The sequence below is a fragment of the Homo sapiens genome, chromosome 10, assembly GCF_000001405.40.
Source record: "Homo sapiens chromosome 10, GRCh38.p14 Primary Assembly".
NCBI lineage: Eukaryota > Metazoa > Chordata > Mammalia > Primates > Hominidae > Homo > Homo sapiens.
In genome coordinates, this window is record NC_000010.11 from 6,325,394 (window position 1) to 6,343,629 (window position 18,236).

The 18,236-nt window shown below is 45.1% G+C and overlaps 1 protein-coding gene, 1 long non-coding RNA gene and 1 pseudogene across 2 annotated transcripts in view; 2 read left to right on the forward strand and 1 right to left on the reverse strand.

Annotated features, from left to right (window-relative positions):
* The window catches only part of PFKFB3 (6-phosphofructo-2-kinase/fructose-2,6-biphosphatase 3), a 181,717-nt gene extending 180,473 nt beyond the window's left edge, over nt 1–1,244 (forward strand). The window contains exon 15 of the mRNA XM_047425341.1: nt 1,153–1,244. Within this exon, the coding sequence (XP_047281297.1) occupies nt 1,153–1,170 (18 nt within the window). The 3' untranslated portion in view covers nt 1,171–1,244. The remainder of the gene's footprint in view (nt 1–1,152) is intronic.
* LINC02649 (long intergenic non-protein coding RNA 2649) lies at nt 1,151–10,589 on the forward strand. The gene is made up of 6 exons (NR_040079.2): nt 1,151–1,249; nt 2,539–4,417; nt 5,560–5,623; nt 5,818–5,913; nt 6,108–6,210; nt 9,864–10,589. It is a non-coding gene; the product is annotated as a long intergenic non-protein coding RNA 2649 (long non-coding RNA).
* On the reverse strand, nt 3,666–4,084 carry DPPA5P3 (developmental pluripotency associated 5 pseudogene 3; annotated as a pseudogene).
* Nucleotides 10,590–18,236: the final 7,647 nt, after the last annotated feature.

Consider the following 18,236-nt stretch of genomic DNA (forward strand, 5'->3'; position numbering starts at 1 on the left):
GTGACCTTGCTCTTCTAAGTCCTTGTGTGTGTATACACACATAATTGAATGCATATTGTTATGTTGTTGAGATCACACAATATGTATCATATTTTCACACACAATGAATATTTATCAATTTAAAGTCCCAAAGCCAAGAGTATTTTGATAACCAAGAATACACTACACCATTTCAATCAGGAAAAAAAATGTAATTTTGCCTTTCATGGAGACAAAAATTTCCTGAAAGACAAAAATGGCAACAGTCCTCTGAATAAAGATGTTGGCAGAGTTACAATTAAAATACTGTGTTCCGTTAATGCTCAATTTAAAATAGGGTATAAAGCAATGGGATATAATCCTTCTAAGAGAATGATCAGAGCTGTCCTAGTAAAATGTTAGCAAGAAGGTATGTGTCCACTGAGTTATTTAGCAGTGTATTCTTATAGTAACCCCCAAAGAGATACACACGTACATCAATGGTTATCATCAAGATGGAAATAGCAATGTGTCTGTATAGTTCCTTCCTCATGCTCCTTCTGCCGCTCTGTTGCTGACCCAATTAATGAGTCCTGGGGTGCACTGCTCAGAGGTGGCTTCATAATACCACGTTCAAGAGGCTTCTTTTGTGTTAATTATAATAAAAACATTTACAAATGGGCCAATTCACTAGCTCTACCTTTTATCATACATTGTCATCTCAAGACATCTGAAAAACCAACGATGTTGTGAAATAAAGAATGAACATGGTCTACCTTTGCAAGGACATGGGTGGAGCTAGAAGCCCTTATGCTCAGCAAACTAACGCCTGCAGAAAACCAAACACTGCATGTTCTCACTCATAAGTGGGAGCTGAAAAATGAGAACCCGTGGACACAGGGAGGGGAACATCACACACTGGGGTCTGTCAGGGGAGTGTGGGTGGTGGTGGTGGTAAAGCATTAGGGAAAAGACCTAATGTATGCTGGGTTTAATACCTACGTGACGGGTTGATAGGAGCAGCAAACCACCATGGCACACGTTTACCTATGTAGCAAACCTGCACATCCTGCACATGTACCCCAGAACTTAAAATAAAAATAGAAAAGAATGAACGTGGTCTATAATAAACACAAGCACTTACTAAAAACTGCACATTTGGAACTGTGCTGATAACCCCAAATTGTCTTCTAGATATGGAGTTACCAGTAAGGAGCTCCACCGTGACTCTCCTCCCTGCTCCGTTGCCCCGACGAGGAAGTGTGAAAACGTTTCTGGCTCCATCCAAGAGGTGGGTTGACAGAGGTCGCTCCCAGAAGACAGTCCTTCCTATAAACTGGCAAAACAAAAATGCCTAAAGTGTGTTAAAAGCAGAGGTAATAAAACAACCCACATTTATAAAGGGGTTGTTTTGCTACCTCTGCTTTTAACACACTTCGGGCACTCAGGACTTGTTTATTCCTTACTAGACACCAAAATTAATGAAAATACACAGACAGAACCATGGTCAGACAGGCTGAAATTGTCTAAACTTCCCTCTGCACCCCTCTCCTCCAAGAGATCAAATTTAACACCACTCTAAAAAGATAATCATACCTGTAAGTTAGCAGAAAAATTGAAAGTGTATTATTTTACATTATCTACTTTTAACATATATGTGCACTTCTAAATACTTACGCTACATGATTCAGAGATGATGGAAGAAGTTCATCCGCATTAACTGCACACATGCAACAAAGGCTGTGTCCTGAAAGCATCTTCTACATAGGAACATGCTGGCCTAGAACCCTTCCCCTTCTCACATCTATCAACCCCCTGGGCAAATCTACGCATGTGCAATGCTTAGAGGTGATGTTCACGATATCCACAAGTCATTTTTGGAAGACAGTCTTTCCTATGAATTTTAACACAAAACTTACAAAATTGCTTACTAACTGGACTTTGGTCAAACGCTGGCAACCTCTGTAACATATAGAAAGAGTAGGTGCTATAAAATTAGGACTTGTTTGCTGATCATATACACTACACGCACAGCAAAGTGAGACAAAACGCAGCCCTGTGAGACACTGGTTAATCCGGCCTCACCACAGGGAGCCCATGGGCATTTGCTCCTTTCTGCTCTTCCCTAGACCAGAACACAAATACAACGTGTCCTGTCCAAAAAGGTGGTTTGGCCATTCCATTGCCCAAAGACAATGTTTCATGTGGATTTTAACAAAAAGATATTTGGAAAATATGTCCGTTTACAACATCTACTTTTAATATATACCAACCAGTGCTTCAGAACATCAAGAAAAATTACGTATCTCAAAAAGGAACATGGTGAGGCCAACTACATCTACATTGGTCAAGAATAGAAAATGCAGGCAGGACAATGGTTGGGAAATGAACATGTCCTCCAAACATGACCAATTGGGCATAGAACCCTTCTTCTGAACTGAACCCAAACTCAGCTTCTGCATAAATTCAGGTTGTGCACAGACCTCCTAGAGCTTATTCATGACCCTCTAGACTAGCCTATGGAGTCTAAGTTAAGAACTCCTCTACTCAGGAATTTTCTGTCTTTTCCCGATTCCACAGTTACTTCCCTGAAGAAGAGAGGGCTTTGTTGAAGTCTTCCCATGCTTTCTGCACAGGGCTCTGGCCTTGGAGAAGGGATTTCCAGTTACCGCAGTGTCACTTGGCCCTGGGTCTCCTCCCGGGAGAGAGAAGTGTACGGCTCCCAAGGTTCCTGGCAGTTTTGAAAGAGCTCTCAGCCACAGCCAGCTTTACTTTGGCAAGTGAGGCCATCCCCTTTCTTTCCTCCTTTCCTTTCCCATGGAACCTACTCCTTCCATCTGTCTTTCAAGCTCTGCCTCAGAAATGGCAATTCAAGGCTGATTTTCTCCTTGAATGCACTCTCTCTGTGAAAGAGGCTTTTCACCAAGAATGTGGTGCTGGTGTTTCTCTTGCCAATGGGCTAAACAAAGGCCTCCGCACCGGGTAACATTTGGGCAGGCCTCTTCACACATGCCTGTCCTTCTCCGTCGCACTTGGCTAAAGCCAACAACCTATGTGTGAAAAGTATAAAGAGATGGAAAAATTCCCATGAAAAATCCTTCCGCAAAGCAATTGCGAGACAACTATGGCGTCATCTGATAACATGATTTCTATTTTGCATCTGTTCCATTGTTGGAGGGCACTCATAGTTGCAAGCCTTGCATGTACATATGTAAAAATTATAAGTGAATGCATCTGCTCAGGTTATTAGCCACTGATTGTGAAATAATCTGAAGTTTGAGAGTCTCAGTTAATAACCTATAGGTGCTGAGAGCATTCAAAGACCCAATAGCATAAGTATTAATCACCTCTTTTCTCCAGAGTAGCAAATAAGAAACCAGGAAGAGCTCAGTTTCACTTCCAACTTGTTCTTTAAGGGCCTCAGAGTTGATAGTTGTCCTCATCTGGGCTCCCTAATGCCACGACAAATCAACTAGAAAAGAAATATGCCCCAAATCAGCACCCAAACACGCTGGTGCCAGCCTGTGTCCATGTTCCTGCAACAGCTGCTGCCCACGGGGTAGGACTGAGCCAGGTCTAAGATTAGCAGTGTCCCAGCTCCTCAGGTTCCTGCACATTGACTCACAACGGAATCAAAACTCGGGAGCTCAACTCTCTGGTTTCTTCTGCTTTCTCTTCTGCAATTTTCTTTCTTTTTTTTTTTTTTAACTTTATTTTACTGGCAACCATGAAAGAGATATTTACAGCAAGACTCAGAGCAAGGTCAGAGACCCCTAAACAGGTGGTTTTCCCTTAACTTATCAGGCTGGAGCAGAGTTTAAACCAAACTAGAGGAATCCCTCTAGCTCTGGGCACAATGTAATCTCTACATCCTGGCCTTCATCGCATTGGCTGGAAGCTGGTTGGCTTCATCCAAGGGCCTACTTCGAGGGGATTCATGCCTCTGCAAGTTTGAGCATCCCTCACTCCTGGCGCTGGCGGTGCCACTCAGCCACGGACTGGAGCATCCACTTGGTCTGGAGCTTGTACAAATAGTAGCCATAAACCACGACTTTGGTGAGGTCTGAAGACTCCAGAGGCTTCAGCTCGAGCATGGCCTTGCTCACCAGCTCAATGTAAGGGATTCCTCCCTCGCCAACCTCCAGAGAGTTAAAGACATCTCTACCACCCGGTGGAGAAGAAAGCTGACCACTGGTGTGCTTCCAGAATGCGAGAAGCTCTTGAAGCCCAACATTCCCTTTCAGTGATATTACTGACATTTTCCCAAAGCTGTGTTCTTCAGAGCTGCACATGGCATTGTTAACAACTATTTCTTAAAAACATTTCTTTTAGAGACGGGATTTTGCCATGTTGGCAGGTTGGTCTCAAACTTTTGGGCTCAAGAGATCCACCCTCCTCAGCTTCCCAAAGTGCTGGGATTAACAGGCCTGAGCACTGCGCAACAACTATTGAAACCCTTGTGAGTTAATTGGATAATTTTGCCTTTTTCTAAACCTTTGAGTTGAGACTCCTTTATCACTCTCATTTCCAGCACCTCAGTCTTCCTTTTTCCTTCCCATCACCTAATCTTTTCTTCTTCTTCTTTTTTTTTTTTTTTTTGAGACAAGGTCTCGCTCTGTCACCCAGGCTATAGTGCAATGGTGTGCAATCACTGTTGACGGCAGCCTGGACCCCCTGGGCTCAAGGGATCCTCCCCGTTCAGCCTTCCCAGTAGCTGGGACTACAGGCGAGCCCACCACGCCCAGCTAATTTTTGTATTTTTTTGTAGCGATGGGGTTTCATCATGTTGCTCAGGTTGAATCACCTAACTTTTTATAGACAGGCTCCAGAACTTCTCCAGGTTCTGGAACCTACATTTGATTTGAGGGTGAGTGGCCTTTGACTCTTGGGAGAAAGTTAATGATGCAGAAATGCACTTGGGAGAATTGAAAACAGACCGGAGGAACGTGTGTGTGGAGGCTGCGCGTACCCTGCTATGATGGGTGGGACGTGCTGGAGGGCAGCGTGGGCGGCGGGAGCACGGGTGGAGGGAGCAGCTGCTCAGGCGGGAGCCCTGCGGAACGTGACCCTCTGTGCACTGGAGAGCAGGAGGCTTTGAGGTGTTCTTTCTTTTTTTTGAGACGGAGTCTCGCTCTGTCGCCCAGGCTGGAGGGCAGTGGCGCGATCTCGGCTCACTGCAAGCTCCGCCTCCCGGGTTCGCGCCATTCTCCCGCCTCAGCCTCCGGAGTAGCTGGGACTACAGGCGCCGGCCACCAAGCCCGGCTAATTTTTTTTTTTTTTTTTTTTTTTTTTAAGTAGAGACGGAGTTTCACCGTGTTAGCCAGAATGGCCTCCATCTCCTGACCTCGTGACCTGCCCGCCTCGGCCTCCCGAAGTGCTGGGATAACAGGCGTGAGCCACCGCGCCCGGCCGAGGTGTTCTTTCTATGTCAGTGGTTCTCAACCTTGACCGCATGTTAGAGTCGTTAGAGGAGCTTAAAATGTCCAGACTGTGCCCCAGAGCAGAATCCCTCGGGATAGGGTCGATGGATTAGGACTTTTTTTAAGCTGATAATTTTATATCTATGTAAGATCTTCTGTTTCCTGAACTTCGTGTGAACAGGTCAGGCGCCTGTTGGACCCCTGGAGCCTGGTTAATGGGAACGACCACAGTGGGCATCAAATGGGTAAAGGCCAGGGAGGCTGCTATATATATCTACAGAGAGAGAGAGAGAGAGAGAGAGAGAGAGGGAGGGGGAGGGGGAGGGGGAGGGGGAGGGAGGGAGGGAGGGAGGGGGAGAGAGAGAGAGAGAGAGAGAGTCTCTGTCACCCAGGGTGGGGTGCAGTGGTGTGATCATATAAGCTGATAATTTTTAAACAGGTAACTTCAGTACGCCAGCACGGTTGAGAACTATTGTTCAACGCGAACTTCACATATGAAGCCCCTCTCATGTGTCAGGCACGGCGTCAGATGCTGGTAGGGACTGAATGTTTGTGTCCCCCAAAATTTGTATGTTGAAGTCACACCCTCAGTGTGATGGTATTGGGAGGTGGGGACTCGGGCAGGTCTGAGGTCGTGAGGATGGAGCCTCATGACAGGGTGAGAGAGAGCCCTTACAAGAAGAGACACAGGAGAGATGATCTCTTTCTGTCTCCTCTCCGCCATGTGAGGACGGCAAGAAGGTGGCCTTCTGCAAATGGGGATGAGTCCTCACCAGGTGTGGGATCTGCCAGCACCTCGATCTTGGGCTTCCCAGCCTCAGTACTGTAAGAAGTAAGTGTCTGTTGTTTAAGCCACCCCATGTAATATAATTTTGTTATAGCAGCCTACATTGATTAAGACAGATGCTAAGAATATGAAGGTGAAGAAATGTCCCAGTACTTCATGGGAACACATCCCAGTGGCTTACAGAATCAAAGATGAAAGAGAGAGGGATACACGTGGTTGCTGGCTCTTCCCTGCTGCTCAGATGCCTGGATCACTTGACTGCCTTCTCTATCAAAGGTTGATGTTTGCTTTCGCTTTGTTAGAAACACGAATGATTGGCTGGATGCAGTGGCTAATGCCTGTAATCCCAGCACTTTGGGCAGTTGAGGCGGGTGGATCACTTGAGGTCAGGAGTTCGAGACCAGCGTGGCCAACATGGTGAAACCCCATCTCTACTAAAAATACAAAAATTAGCCAGGTGTGGTGGTGTGCACCTGTAACCCCAGCTACTGAGGAGGCTGAGTTAGGAGAATTGCTTGAGCCCGGGAGGCAGTGGTTGTGGTGAGCCGAGATCAAGCCACTGCACTCCAGCCTGGGTGACAGAGCGAGACTGCATCTCAAAACAAAACAAAACAAAACAACCAAGAAACACAAATGATCAGGGCTTCAATTCTGCAATGCAACAATCACTAACCATTTGTAGAGAATCCTAATGGCTTTTACATTTTCAGTGCCACTGTTCTCTTGCAAATAATATGATATAACCAATCAATATTTGGAAGGAACTCTGAGATTGCTTTAAAATTATTGCATGTTAATAATTATGAACATTTGGGTAATGCTTTTTGACTTTACAAAATGTCTTTATATATAAGCACTGGTTCTCCACCAGGGGCAACTCCCTCCCCCAGGGGACATTTGGCAATGTTGGGAGACATTTTTGGTTGTCCCAGCTGGGGAGAGTGTTACTGGCATCTAGTGGGTAGAGGCCAGGGAGGCTGCTAAACATCCGACAATGCACAGGACAGCCTCTGACAACAAACTATTATCCCGTCTAAATGTCGATAATGTTGAGGTTGAGAAACTCCCATACGCAAGATCTCTCGGAAATGTTTGCAATTTTTACAGTTATTGCATGTGTTAGATATTTTCACAATTCTTTTACAAATCAGGATCCCGAGGGTCAAAGATGATGAGTTACTCATTCTAGATTGTAAATGACAAAGCCAGGTGTATCATGCTGAGCCTATTTACCTGCAGGCTAGCATCATGTAGAACCAGCGTGGTAAGAGTGGGCAAGCAATTTACTGTGCATCTCTGCTTAGAAGTGAAGCAGAAAGTCATGTGGAGCCACCTCAGCTGAACAAAATAATTTTCTTGACCTCGTTTGATTCCTTGGTCTTGAACAGATTTTGGGCTTAAGGCATGGAAAGTTTGGTCCTTGCCCGTGTTATTTGGCTCTTTTCATTTTTGTTGTTATTATGATCAAGACTATTTTGGCTGGTGCAGATGAAGCCAGCGGAGATTAATCTCTGACCTTGTCCTTGAAAATCCCCTACCAGGAGGCAGACCACTTGAGAGCACAATGCCTCATGAATGCAGCAGCTCCTTGGAAGACAGATGCTCCCTTCCTTGAACTTCATGTGGCGAGGTCAGGCGTCTGTTAGATCCCTGGAGCCTGGTTAAGGGAAGCAACCACAGGCATCAAAGCCCAACTGGTCCATGCTGCCTTGGGCTGGGGTGGAGGGGGATGCTGGCAACTTCATGGAGCACGGCAGTCCCTCTGCACTGCTGTGGGCTCCGGGCAAGCTGGGAATTCCAGTCTGGAATCCAGAAACTCTGCTTGTGGTCAGACCCAAGAAAAGGCTTATTTCTTTCAATCAGAGCTTTGCCATCTGTACAGAAGGAAGATTTTCTGGTCTCTTTGTGTGAGTCAGAGTTTTCCAGAAAAAGAGAACCAGTAAGAGATTCTACATTGTATTAGTCCGTTTTCATGCTGCTGATAAAGATATACCCAAGACCCGGGAACTTACAGAAGAAAGAGGCCTAATGGACTCACAGTTCCACATGGCTGGGGAGGTCTCACAATCATGGCGGAAGGTGGAAGGCACATCTCACATGGTGGCAGACAAGAGAAGAGAGCTTGTGCAGGGAAACTCCCCTTTATAAAACCATCAGATCTTGTGACAGTATGACGATAATCGCATGGGAAAGATTTGCCCCCGTGATTCAATTACCTCCCACTGTGTCCCTCCCACAACATGTGGGAATTGTGGGAGCTACAGTTCAAGATGAGATTTGGGTGGGGACACAGCCAAACCATATAATACATATAAAGAGACAGAAACAGAAAGAGAGAGAAAGAATTTTTCATCTATATTTGTGTTGTGTGAAAAGATATATCTAGAGAGAGGCTTATTATAAAGAATTGGCTCCTGTGATCATGGAGACTGAGAAACCCCAAAATCTGCAATCAGTGAGCTGGAGACTCAGGAGAGCCGATGGTATAATTTCAGTCTGAGTCCATGTCCTAAGGTAGAAGAAGACAAGTGTCCCAGCTTGAAGACAGGTGAGGGACAACAGATTCTCCTTTACTCAGCCTTTTTGTTCTCTTCAGACCCTCAACTGATTAGATGCGGCCCACCCACATTGATTAGATGTTTTACTCAATCCACCAAGTCAAATGTTAATCTCACCCAGAAACACCCCCACAGAGACACCCAGGATAATGTTTGACCAAATATCTGAGCATCTGTGGTCCAATCAAGTTGATACATAAGGTTAACCCTCCCCCTCTTCTTCCCAGATGTATTTTGAGATGTTTGTGAAGCACCTTGGATAGGTGCTTACAGGCTCAAGAAGTATCAGAGGACACCATGGTAGTATCCCTTTTTCCATAAAAATGAATCTCTATGTAGTAGCGAATTTTGTATCTATATTTGCACTGTCTGAAATGATAGTTGCTAACCACATGTGGTTATTGGCACTTGAAATGGGACCAGTGCAACTGAGGAACATAATTTTAAAATGTTGTTTAATTTTAGTTAATGTAAATTGAAATAGCCGCATGTCGCCAGTGGCTACCATATTGGGCAGTTCCGCTGTAGATGCTCTCTGAGCATCAGTCTGGAGGAGTATCCAATAAGACACTTACAGCTGCTGCAGGATACAGGACACAGCACATGAAGAAATCTGTAATATTCACATCTATGGAATATCAGGTCTCAAGTAGGCTCATTTGGTCTCAGGAGCTCCTATCAGATATACAGCTGACATTCATCATGTACTTGTTACTGAAAGGAAATGTGCTATGCATGTTGTCTTTGTTAATTCATTTATTGGACAAATATTTATTGAGAGCATTGTCCGTGCCAGGCAGTGGAATAGGTGCTGGGAATACAGAGGTAAGCCAGGTAGACACAGCCCCTGCCCTGGAACCATTTGACCAGGAAGAAAAGCGAGCAACCAGCTAAACACCTGGGTCCTAGGTCGCAAGCTTGTTCACATCTTCACTCAACAAATACTGACCAGGTATTGCCCTTCTCCTGGGACCTAGCAGGGAACAAAACAGAGACTCTGCTCCCATGTCATTTGCATTTATTGGTCAGTTACAAGTCACGTGGTCTACCAGTGGAGTTATCCAGAATCTTGTTTAAATGTTGATATTTACAGCAACCTTATGAAGTAAGTGTTGGTTTTTTTTTTTTTTTTTTTGACAGAGTTTCGCTCTTTCACCCAGGCTGGAGTGCAGTGGCACGATCTTGGCTCACTTCAACCTCTGCCTTCCAGTTTCAAGTGATTCTACTGCCTCAGCCTCCCAAGTAGCTGGGATTACAGGCACCCACCACTATGCTCGGCTAATTTTTTTGTATTTTCAATAGTGACAGAGTTTCACCATATTGGCCAGGCTGGTGTCGAACTCCTGACCTCATGATCTGCCCACCTCTGCCTCCCAAAGTGCTGGGATTACAGGCGTGAGCCATCGCGCCCAGCCCATAAGTTTTAGTGCCTTTTTTTCATAGATGCTGAAACTGAAAAAGGGTGTGGTTAAATAATTTGCCCAAGCCAGTCTCTGGCAAAGATGGGATTCATATCCAGCTACTGATGACCAAACATGGTGAGCAGGTATCCTATGTCCCGAGGAAGCCCATTCCACCTGAGCACTGGATGGAAGGGATATCGCAATCACCCCCATGCATGATGGACAGGTCTAGGAGCATTGGACACTCAATGGAAACTCATGCCCCTGTCAGAAATTGGCAACTGCCACTTCCACGGCACTTGCAAACTTTGCACACGGTCCAGATGTGGCCTGGCTTGTTGCTGTCATGGTAGCAATAGTAATTACTTAGGGGATTTCTGCAGATCTTGCTCATATTGTGCATAATAGGGTATAAAATATGGAAAATTTGCCTCTAAAATAAAGTGTTGCTGGCAAACTCAAAGTTTCTGAAGCTGTTTAAATTAAGCTCAGTCCACATGAGAAAATGATGGGAGATTTGAATAAGCAGAGTAGAGTAGATTACAGGAAAATGGAATGAAGTTCCCAGACAAACAGGAGCTCATTGTAGGGGACAGTACTGATGAGTAGAGGAGATGCTGGGTGATCACCAAACAGCTAAGGAGCCAGGCGGAGGCAGCCCTGTTGAACCAATCACTCCAAAGAGTGAGACTGAACAACAAGCTGCAATGCCAGAAAAGCGCTCCACATGCTGGCAGAGAGCTCGAGTGAGGATTCAGGGTCAAGATCCAGTGGAGAAAATACCCCTCCCTCCCTTTTTGCCTCCCTCTCTCCTTTCTTTCTTTCTTTCTTTCTTGCTTGCTTGCTTGCTTTCACTCTTCTTTCTTTCTTTCTTTCTTTCCTCCTCTCCTCTCCTCTCCTCTCCTCTCCTCTCCTCTCCTCTCCTCTCTCTCTCATGGGTTTACTCTGTCACCCAGGCTGGAGTGCAGTGGTGCAATCACAGCTCACTGCAGTCTCTACCTCCTGGGCTCAAGCAATCCTCTTGCTTCAGCCTCCCAAGGAGCTGAGACCACAGGTGCAGCCAGGCTATTTTTTTTTGTTTTTGTATTTTTTGTAAAGATGGGGTTTTGTCATGTTACCCAGGCTGGTCTTGAACTCCTGGGCTCAAGAGATCCATCCACCTTGGCTTCACAAAGTGTTAGGATTATAGGCCACCACACCCAGCCTTTTTATCTTTTTCTTTTCTTTTTTTGTTGAGACAGGGTGAAGTGTCTGTTGTTCAGGCTGGAGTGCAGCCTCGACCTCCTGGACTGAGGTGATCCTGACATGTAAGCCTAGCGAGTAACCAGGACTATAGATACGTGCCACCATGCCTGGCTAATTTTTTTGCAGAGACAAGGTCTCCTTATGTTGGCCAGGCTGGTCTCAAACTCCCTTGGCTCAAGCGGTCCCCTGCCTTGGCGTCCCAAAGTGTTGGGATTACAGTCAGGAGTCACTGCACCTGACCTGAAAATATTTCTAATCTTTGAGTTAATGCCTGTTACTCAGGAAATACAATGTATACATAGAAAATTCTGTATTTGAATTTCGGAAAATTTTGAAAAATTTTATTCTATTTATATGGTTGTGTTTATTAAAAGGGCCTCCATTTCATATACCTTAACAAAGAAAGGTATATGAGTTCTAACTTCTTAGATTAAATGTCTTTTTAAATTAAAAAAAAAAAGTAATTTTCATGGTGTTCTGTTGGGAATAGCACAGTGCTGTGGGTTTGTGAGATAAGGAGCGAGAGTGTTCCTGCTGGGTTAGAATCGTTTGCTTCTTCCACAGGGAAAGAGAATTCTATAATGGACTCTAGTGAGTTGTGACTTACTTTGGCCAATGAAGCCATTTTTTGATGGGTTTTCTCCATCTCCTGTTTCCTTTCTGTCTCAAGATCAGCAATGCTTCCGATAGAGGCTGCCACTCAGTTCCGGGTGTGGAGCGGAAGCTGAGCTGGCCTGCCATGCACACCAATGTGAACTGTTTATTGTTGTGGGTCATGTGATTTTGAGGTTGTTTCTTACTGTGGTATGGCCCAGCCTGTCCTGACTCTTATAGCAATGGATATTTTCCCTACACTGCAATCTCAGCCCTCAGGGATGCGTCCCCGCCTTGAGAAATAAGATTCATTCAGAGGATGTGGTTGTTTTCTTTCTCACCGAGGATGCAGGGAAGAAGGAAATGGGCTTTGCAAGAATTTTAGTGAAGATAAAGCCAGCTCATTATCCATGAAAAATACACAGAGCACAGGGTTTGAAGTCAGATAGTCCTGAGTTTAAATCAGAGCTACTACTTATGTGCCGTGTAGCCTTAAGGGAATTATTCAATCTTTCTAAAAATCAAATTTTCTTTCTATAAACCTGGGATAAAAACACTTATATTTACAGCGTTTAATTGCATACTGATTAAATTATATATATGAAGATATATACATATATGTATCGCCCTTAGCAGAGTATAACAGACCAACATATGGGTTTACAAGATGTATGTATTCATATATATAATTTATATATATGAATTCATATATAAATTATATATATGAATACATATTAATATATATAAATTATATACATGAATACATATTAATATATATGTATATGCCATATATAAACCCATAGTGTTGGTCTGTTATACTCTGCTAAGGGCTATATATATATATCTTCCTATATATGTATATACATACATATTCATGTATTCCTATATATGAAGCCCTATATATGTATATATTCATATATATAAACGATATATATGAATAATATGATGTGAATATACATGGAGCAATTATATATATATATGAATCCCTTAGCATAGTGTAAGAGCCTAACACTGCAGGTTTAAGAGATGTAGCAGCTCAGTAAATGGTAGTTCTTATGAACATTCATATACACGCACATAGAGGCATTTAAATGACTGACGTACACAGTCTGAATGCTGATACAACATCCACAAATTTAAGGAGAAATGCAATCATAGAAACCACTCATGAGTTGGCAGAGCTGATGCATCCTATGTTTGCTCTAATTGCAATATGGCTAGATAGCAATTTAAAAGATTCAACAATTATTTAACATTTGAGAAGCCAAGTTGATTTGAGGCTGTTTTTAGAAATAGAATATGTTCATACGTGGTAAAATTTCGAGAGTCGTATTCAAACCAAGCCACCAAATCATTTCAGTCGCCTTTCAAAGATGCACCTACCGATGGCATGGTTCCAGATGTATCAATGACAAGTGAGATTAAAAAAAAAATCACATGTTCTTCCCACTCACAACTAGCTTTAAGTCTGGTGATAGAAACAGGTGTGTGAGCAATACATTATATTAGGAGACAAACAGCAGCCTAAATAACATGCTCAGGCTACACCAGTCGAATGTAATGTGCTGAGCCTGGGGTGCCCAGTGTGGCCCTCGACGAGGGCACTAGCACCGATGGGAGAAGCTCCACCATCACTTAATGAAGACAAGTCCTGCCTTGCTGGCATATGATAAGCTTTAGTCTTGCTCCAAAACTACAGCAGCGGCAGTAACAACAACCCGTAACATAGCAGAGCTCTCCATTCATCCCTCCATGTGCCAGATGCTGAGGGGAGTAGTGAGATGGGAGTGTGAGCCCCACCTGCATGAACCTACGCCAACCAACCGAGAGATGAGGCTCCATCAGGGCATCGGGTTCAGGCTGGGGCAGGAGGCCAGACTTCCCTGAGAACGTAATATTCAAACGGAGACCAGAAGGAGAGTAGAATATGTGAAAGTGGTGATTTGGGGAAGAGCTTTGAGCCTTGAGCTGTGGGAGGAAGGCCCATGAGGCTGGAATAAGGCAAGAGAGGGGCAGAGTGATGGGGGAGAAGGCTGGAGAGGCCAGGACGGGCCAGGCAGAACCCAGCGGCTGTGCACCTGCTGACCATGTGCCATGGGACGTCATTGGAGGGCTTTACAAAGGGGAAAGATATCATCTTACTAATGTTTTTAAAAGTTTTTTATGCTTCCTCAACATATTAAACATGGAATTACCGTGTGATCCAGCAGTTCTACTTCTGGGTATATACCAAAAAGAATAAAAAGTAGGGACTCAAACATATTTATACCCTAGCGTTCATAACAGTGTTATTCATAATAGCCAAAAGGTGGAAGTGAAGTAACCCCAGTGTCCACTGATGGAGAATGGATAGGAAAGGGATGGTCTGTTCACACAATGGAATATTATTCAGCCTTAAAAAGGGAAGGAAATTCTGGCACATGCTACAGCGTGGATGAACCTTGAAGACAACATGCTGAGTGAAATAAGCCAGACATAAAAGGACAAATACTGTGTGATACCACTCCCATGAGGTCCCTAGAATATTCAACTCAAGGAGACAGAGAGTAGAGAGGTGGTGGCCAGGGGCTGGGGGAGATGGGAGCATGGAGAGTTATGTTTCCTGGGGACAGAGTTTCAGTTTGGGAAGAAGTAAAAGTTCTGGAGGTGGGTGGTGGGAATGTTTGCACAACAATTTGAATGTACTTAATGCCACGAAACTGCACACTTAAATATGGTTGAAGTGGGCCAGGTGCGGTGACTCATGCCCATAATCCCAGCACTTTGGGAGGCCGAGGTGGGTAGATCACTTGAGGTCAGGAGTTTGGGACCAACCTGACCAACATGGTGAAACCCTGTCTCTACTAAAAAACAAACAAACAAACAAAAAACTCAAAAATTAGCCAGCTGTCGTGGTGCGTGCCTGTAATCCCAGCTACTCAAGAGGTTGAGACAGGAGAATCGGTTGAACCCAGGGGGCGAAGGTTGCAGTGAGCTGAGACTGCACTACTGCACTTTAGCCTGGGTGACAGAGCAAGACCCATCTCAAAAAACAAAAAAATCTATATCTATATCTATATCTCTCTCTATCTCTATCTCTATCTATCTATATATATGGTTAAAGTGGTAAGTTTTATGTTATGTATATTCTAACACATTAAAACAAAGCTCATCATGGGTGCTTTATGGGGAGCAGGGAGTGGGGGATGAGGGTGGGAAGGGAAACCAGTGTTGGGGGAACAAGCCTCCCGGGTCTTGCAGTAGCCCCACGAGGAGCCCAGGATGGCTGGGGCAGGATGGAGCAGCAGAGATGAAGGGAGTGGGTGGGTTCCCTGCTCACAGGTGAGGTGAGCTATGCTGGGCTGGGTGATGAACCAGATGGGAGGAGGTGGTGAGACAGGGGGAGAGCCAGGTGCCAGGGATAGCTGCTCCCTGTTCTGGCACCAGCAATGAGAAAATAAAAACACCACAGAGTGTGGCAGCAATCGCTGGGGGAGGGACACACTTGGTGGTGCGGGCAGGTGGGGCAGTGGGGGTTCAAGTGTTCAGGTTGGACACACACCACCTTTGAGATGACTACGAAAGACCCAAGGGTGGGCGTTAAATAGGGGGCTGGATACACAGGTCTGGAGCTCAGCAGGACGCGCCAGGAAGGAAATGGGAGATGATAGAATGGGAATGTCACGGAAACCACAGGGAGAGAGGGGACTGCTCAGGTGGAGGGTGAAGGGCAGTAGGAAAAAATGCAGGCCAGGAGGTGCAACAAGCCTACACCAGGCCTGACTGGTCAGCCTTGAATCCCAGCAAATTAGCCTTTTCTCTTTAACCAGAGACATGAGCACTTGGATGAGAGTTGCCAGTCGCTAGATATTTAAAACTGCTAAGTGAAATAAACTGGGTACAGAGAGACAAGCAATGCATGATCTCACTTTCATGTGGAATTTAAAACAATTTTTTGTTTTAATTTTTTTTGAGACGGAGTCTTGCTCTGTTGCCCAGGCTGGAGTGCAGTGGCGCAACCTCGGCTCACTGCAACCTCCATCTCCCAGGTTCAAAATTCTCCTGCCTCAGCCTCCCAAGTAGCTGAGATTACAGGAGCCCATCACCATGCCCGGCTAATTTTTTTTTTTGTATTTTTAGTAGAGATGGAGCTTCACTATTTAAAACGATTTGAATTCACAGAAGTAGAGGGTAGAATGATGGCTACCAGAGGCTCGGGGAGAGGGAAGAAAGGGGAGTTATTGGTCAAAGAATACAATGTTTCAGCTCGACAGGAAAAATAGGTTTTGAGATCTATTGCACAGCAGAGTAACTACAGTCAATGATGCATATTTCAAAATAACTAAGTTATATGTAACAAAATAACTCAATGTATCATCACAGAAGATGTCAAGCAATTGAGGTGAGGGATTTGTTCATTAGCTTGATTTAATCACCCCACAATGTGTACATATATCAAAATATCTCATTATATGCCGTAAATGTAATGCAATTATGATCTGTCAATTAAAAATAATATAAAAATGCATGGAAACGAAGTACACAGGGCAGGCCTGCTAGTCCCACGGACCTCTGGTTCTCCAAGCTGCAAAATGCAGATGACTGGCTCCCTTGGTGGCAGGAGACAGGGTCAGGTTGGAACCTAAGTAGGCATTGAGTATCAGATCTTACTAAACCAACTCCATCAAACCCTCTCTGCTTGGAGAGGCCCAGCATGAGAGAGAGCGAGACATAAAGGAAAAACAGTGATGGCTAGGAGGGAAAGGAGGTATAGAGCAGCAAGGTCCGCAGTCTACCTGAAATACAAAGGCTCTGTGTCTGTATGCCGTCTATTTTGTTTGCATAGCAATCCTCCTTTTCCTTCAATTAGTCTGACAGAGGCTTTGCTGATCGCAGGCAAGAGAGTGAAGAAACGCCCACACAGCAAGCGTTCTCATCTTCAGGCAAGAGGCAATGCCAGTCTCCTATTATAATGGTCATAAAAATGTCAGTTACCGTACCATGTACATATGTTGAAGGAGAAATTCCTTCTTGCTCTCTCCTGGTCTCTCTTTTTTAATTGCAGGAGACTCCTTTTGGAGCTTAGAATTAGTTTGCATTTTCTGGACATGCTCCAGCTGGCCCCAAAGTGGGTAGCAGAGAGGAGCTAGTTGTAGAATAATGGAGATTTTCCTCAATATGTAAGAACTTCCCTCGCCCGGGCACAGTGACTCATGTCTGTAATCCCAGCACTTTGGGAGGCCAAGGCAGGCAGATCACTGAGGTCAGGAGTTGGAGACCAGCCTGGCCAACATAGTGAAACCCCAACTTTATGAAAAATACAAAACTTAGCCGGGCGTGGTGGCAGATGCCTGTAATCTCAGCTACTCGGGAGGCTGAGGCAGGAGAATCACTTGAACCTGGGAGGCAGAGGTTGCAGTGAGCCGAGATCGTGCTACTGCGCTCCAACCTGGGTGACCAAGCAAGACTCTCAAAAAAAAAAAAACAAAAAAAAACTTCCCAAGAGTAAACACTACTAAAATTTTGTATTTCAGCTGGAGAGAGTTTACCAGCCACACACTTGGATTAGGATGGGGTTACCATAATCTATGCTGGCACAAGTGAGAAGTGGATGTCTGCTGGGGGCTGTCAGAAAAATTGGTGGGGAAAGAGCTCTGCTGCAGGTACCAGCGAGCCTTGAGATGTTGTGGACTGTTGGCAAGCTTTCCAGGCCTAGGAATTTAGGCCTGGCATCACCACGGCCTGGAGGGCAAAGGAGAAGGACTTCGGACCCAAATCCAAAAAAATGAAGTAGGGAGAGGAGGCCAGGTGGAGTTGGAGGGGTGGACAGGGGCTATGCATGTCTCTGGAACCAGGTTCAGGGCACCTAGAGTTTTGTGATGGAGTGCCAGGTGTAGGAGGGACATGGTAGATCCAGAGGTGCTGCATCCTGAGAGCCTCCTGCCTCCTGGGGCAGAGACACAGCGTGGGGAGGCTGATGGTCCTGACGCTGGTGCCAGGCCTTCTGTGGCAGAGGATTCTCCTCTGCTTCCTGCCCAGCCCTGCATCTGAGGCCAGGATGTAGGCAGGCTCAAAGCAGGGTGAGGACATGTGTATATGCATATGTGTGCATGCGTGAGTGTGCACATTTGTTCACATGCATGCACACATCTGTGTGCATATTTGTGTATGTGCATGTGCATTTTGTGTGTGTGCACATGTGTGTGTTGCTTCCAATAATATCCCCACGTCTGGCCTTCCTACTGCACGCAGCCACATCTAGAGGCAGGCAGCTGAGCCAGGTGAACTGTCA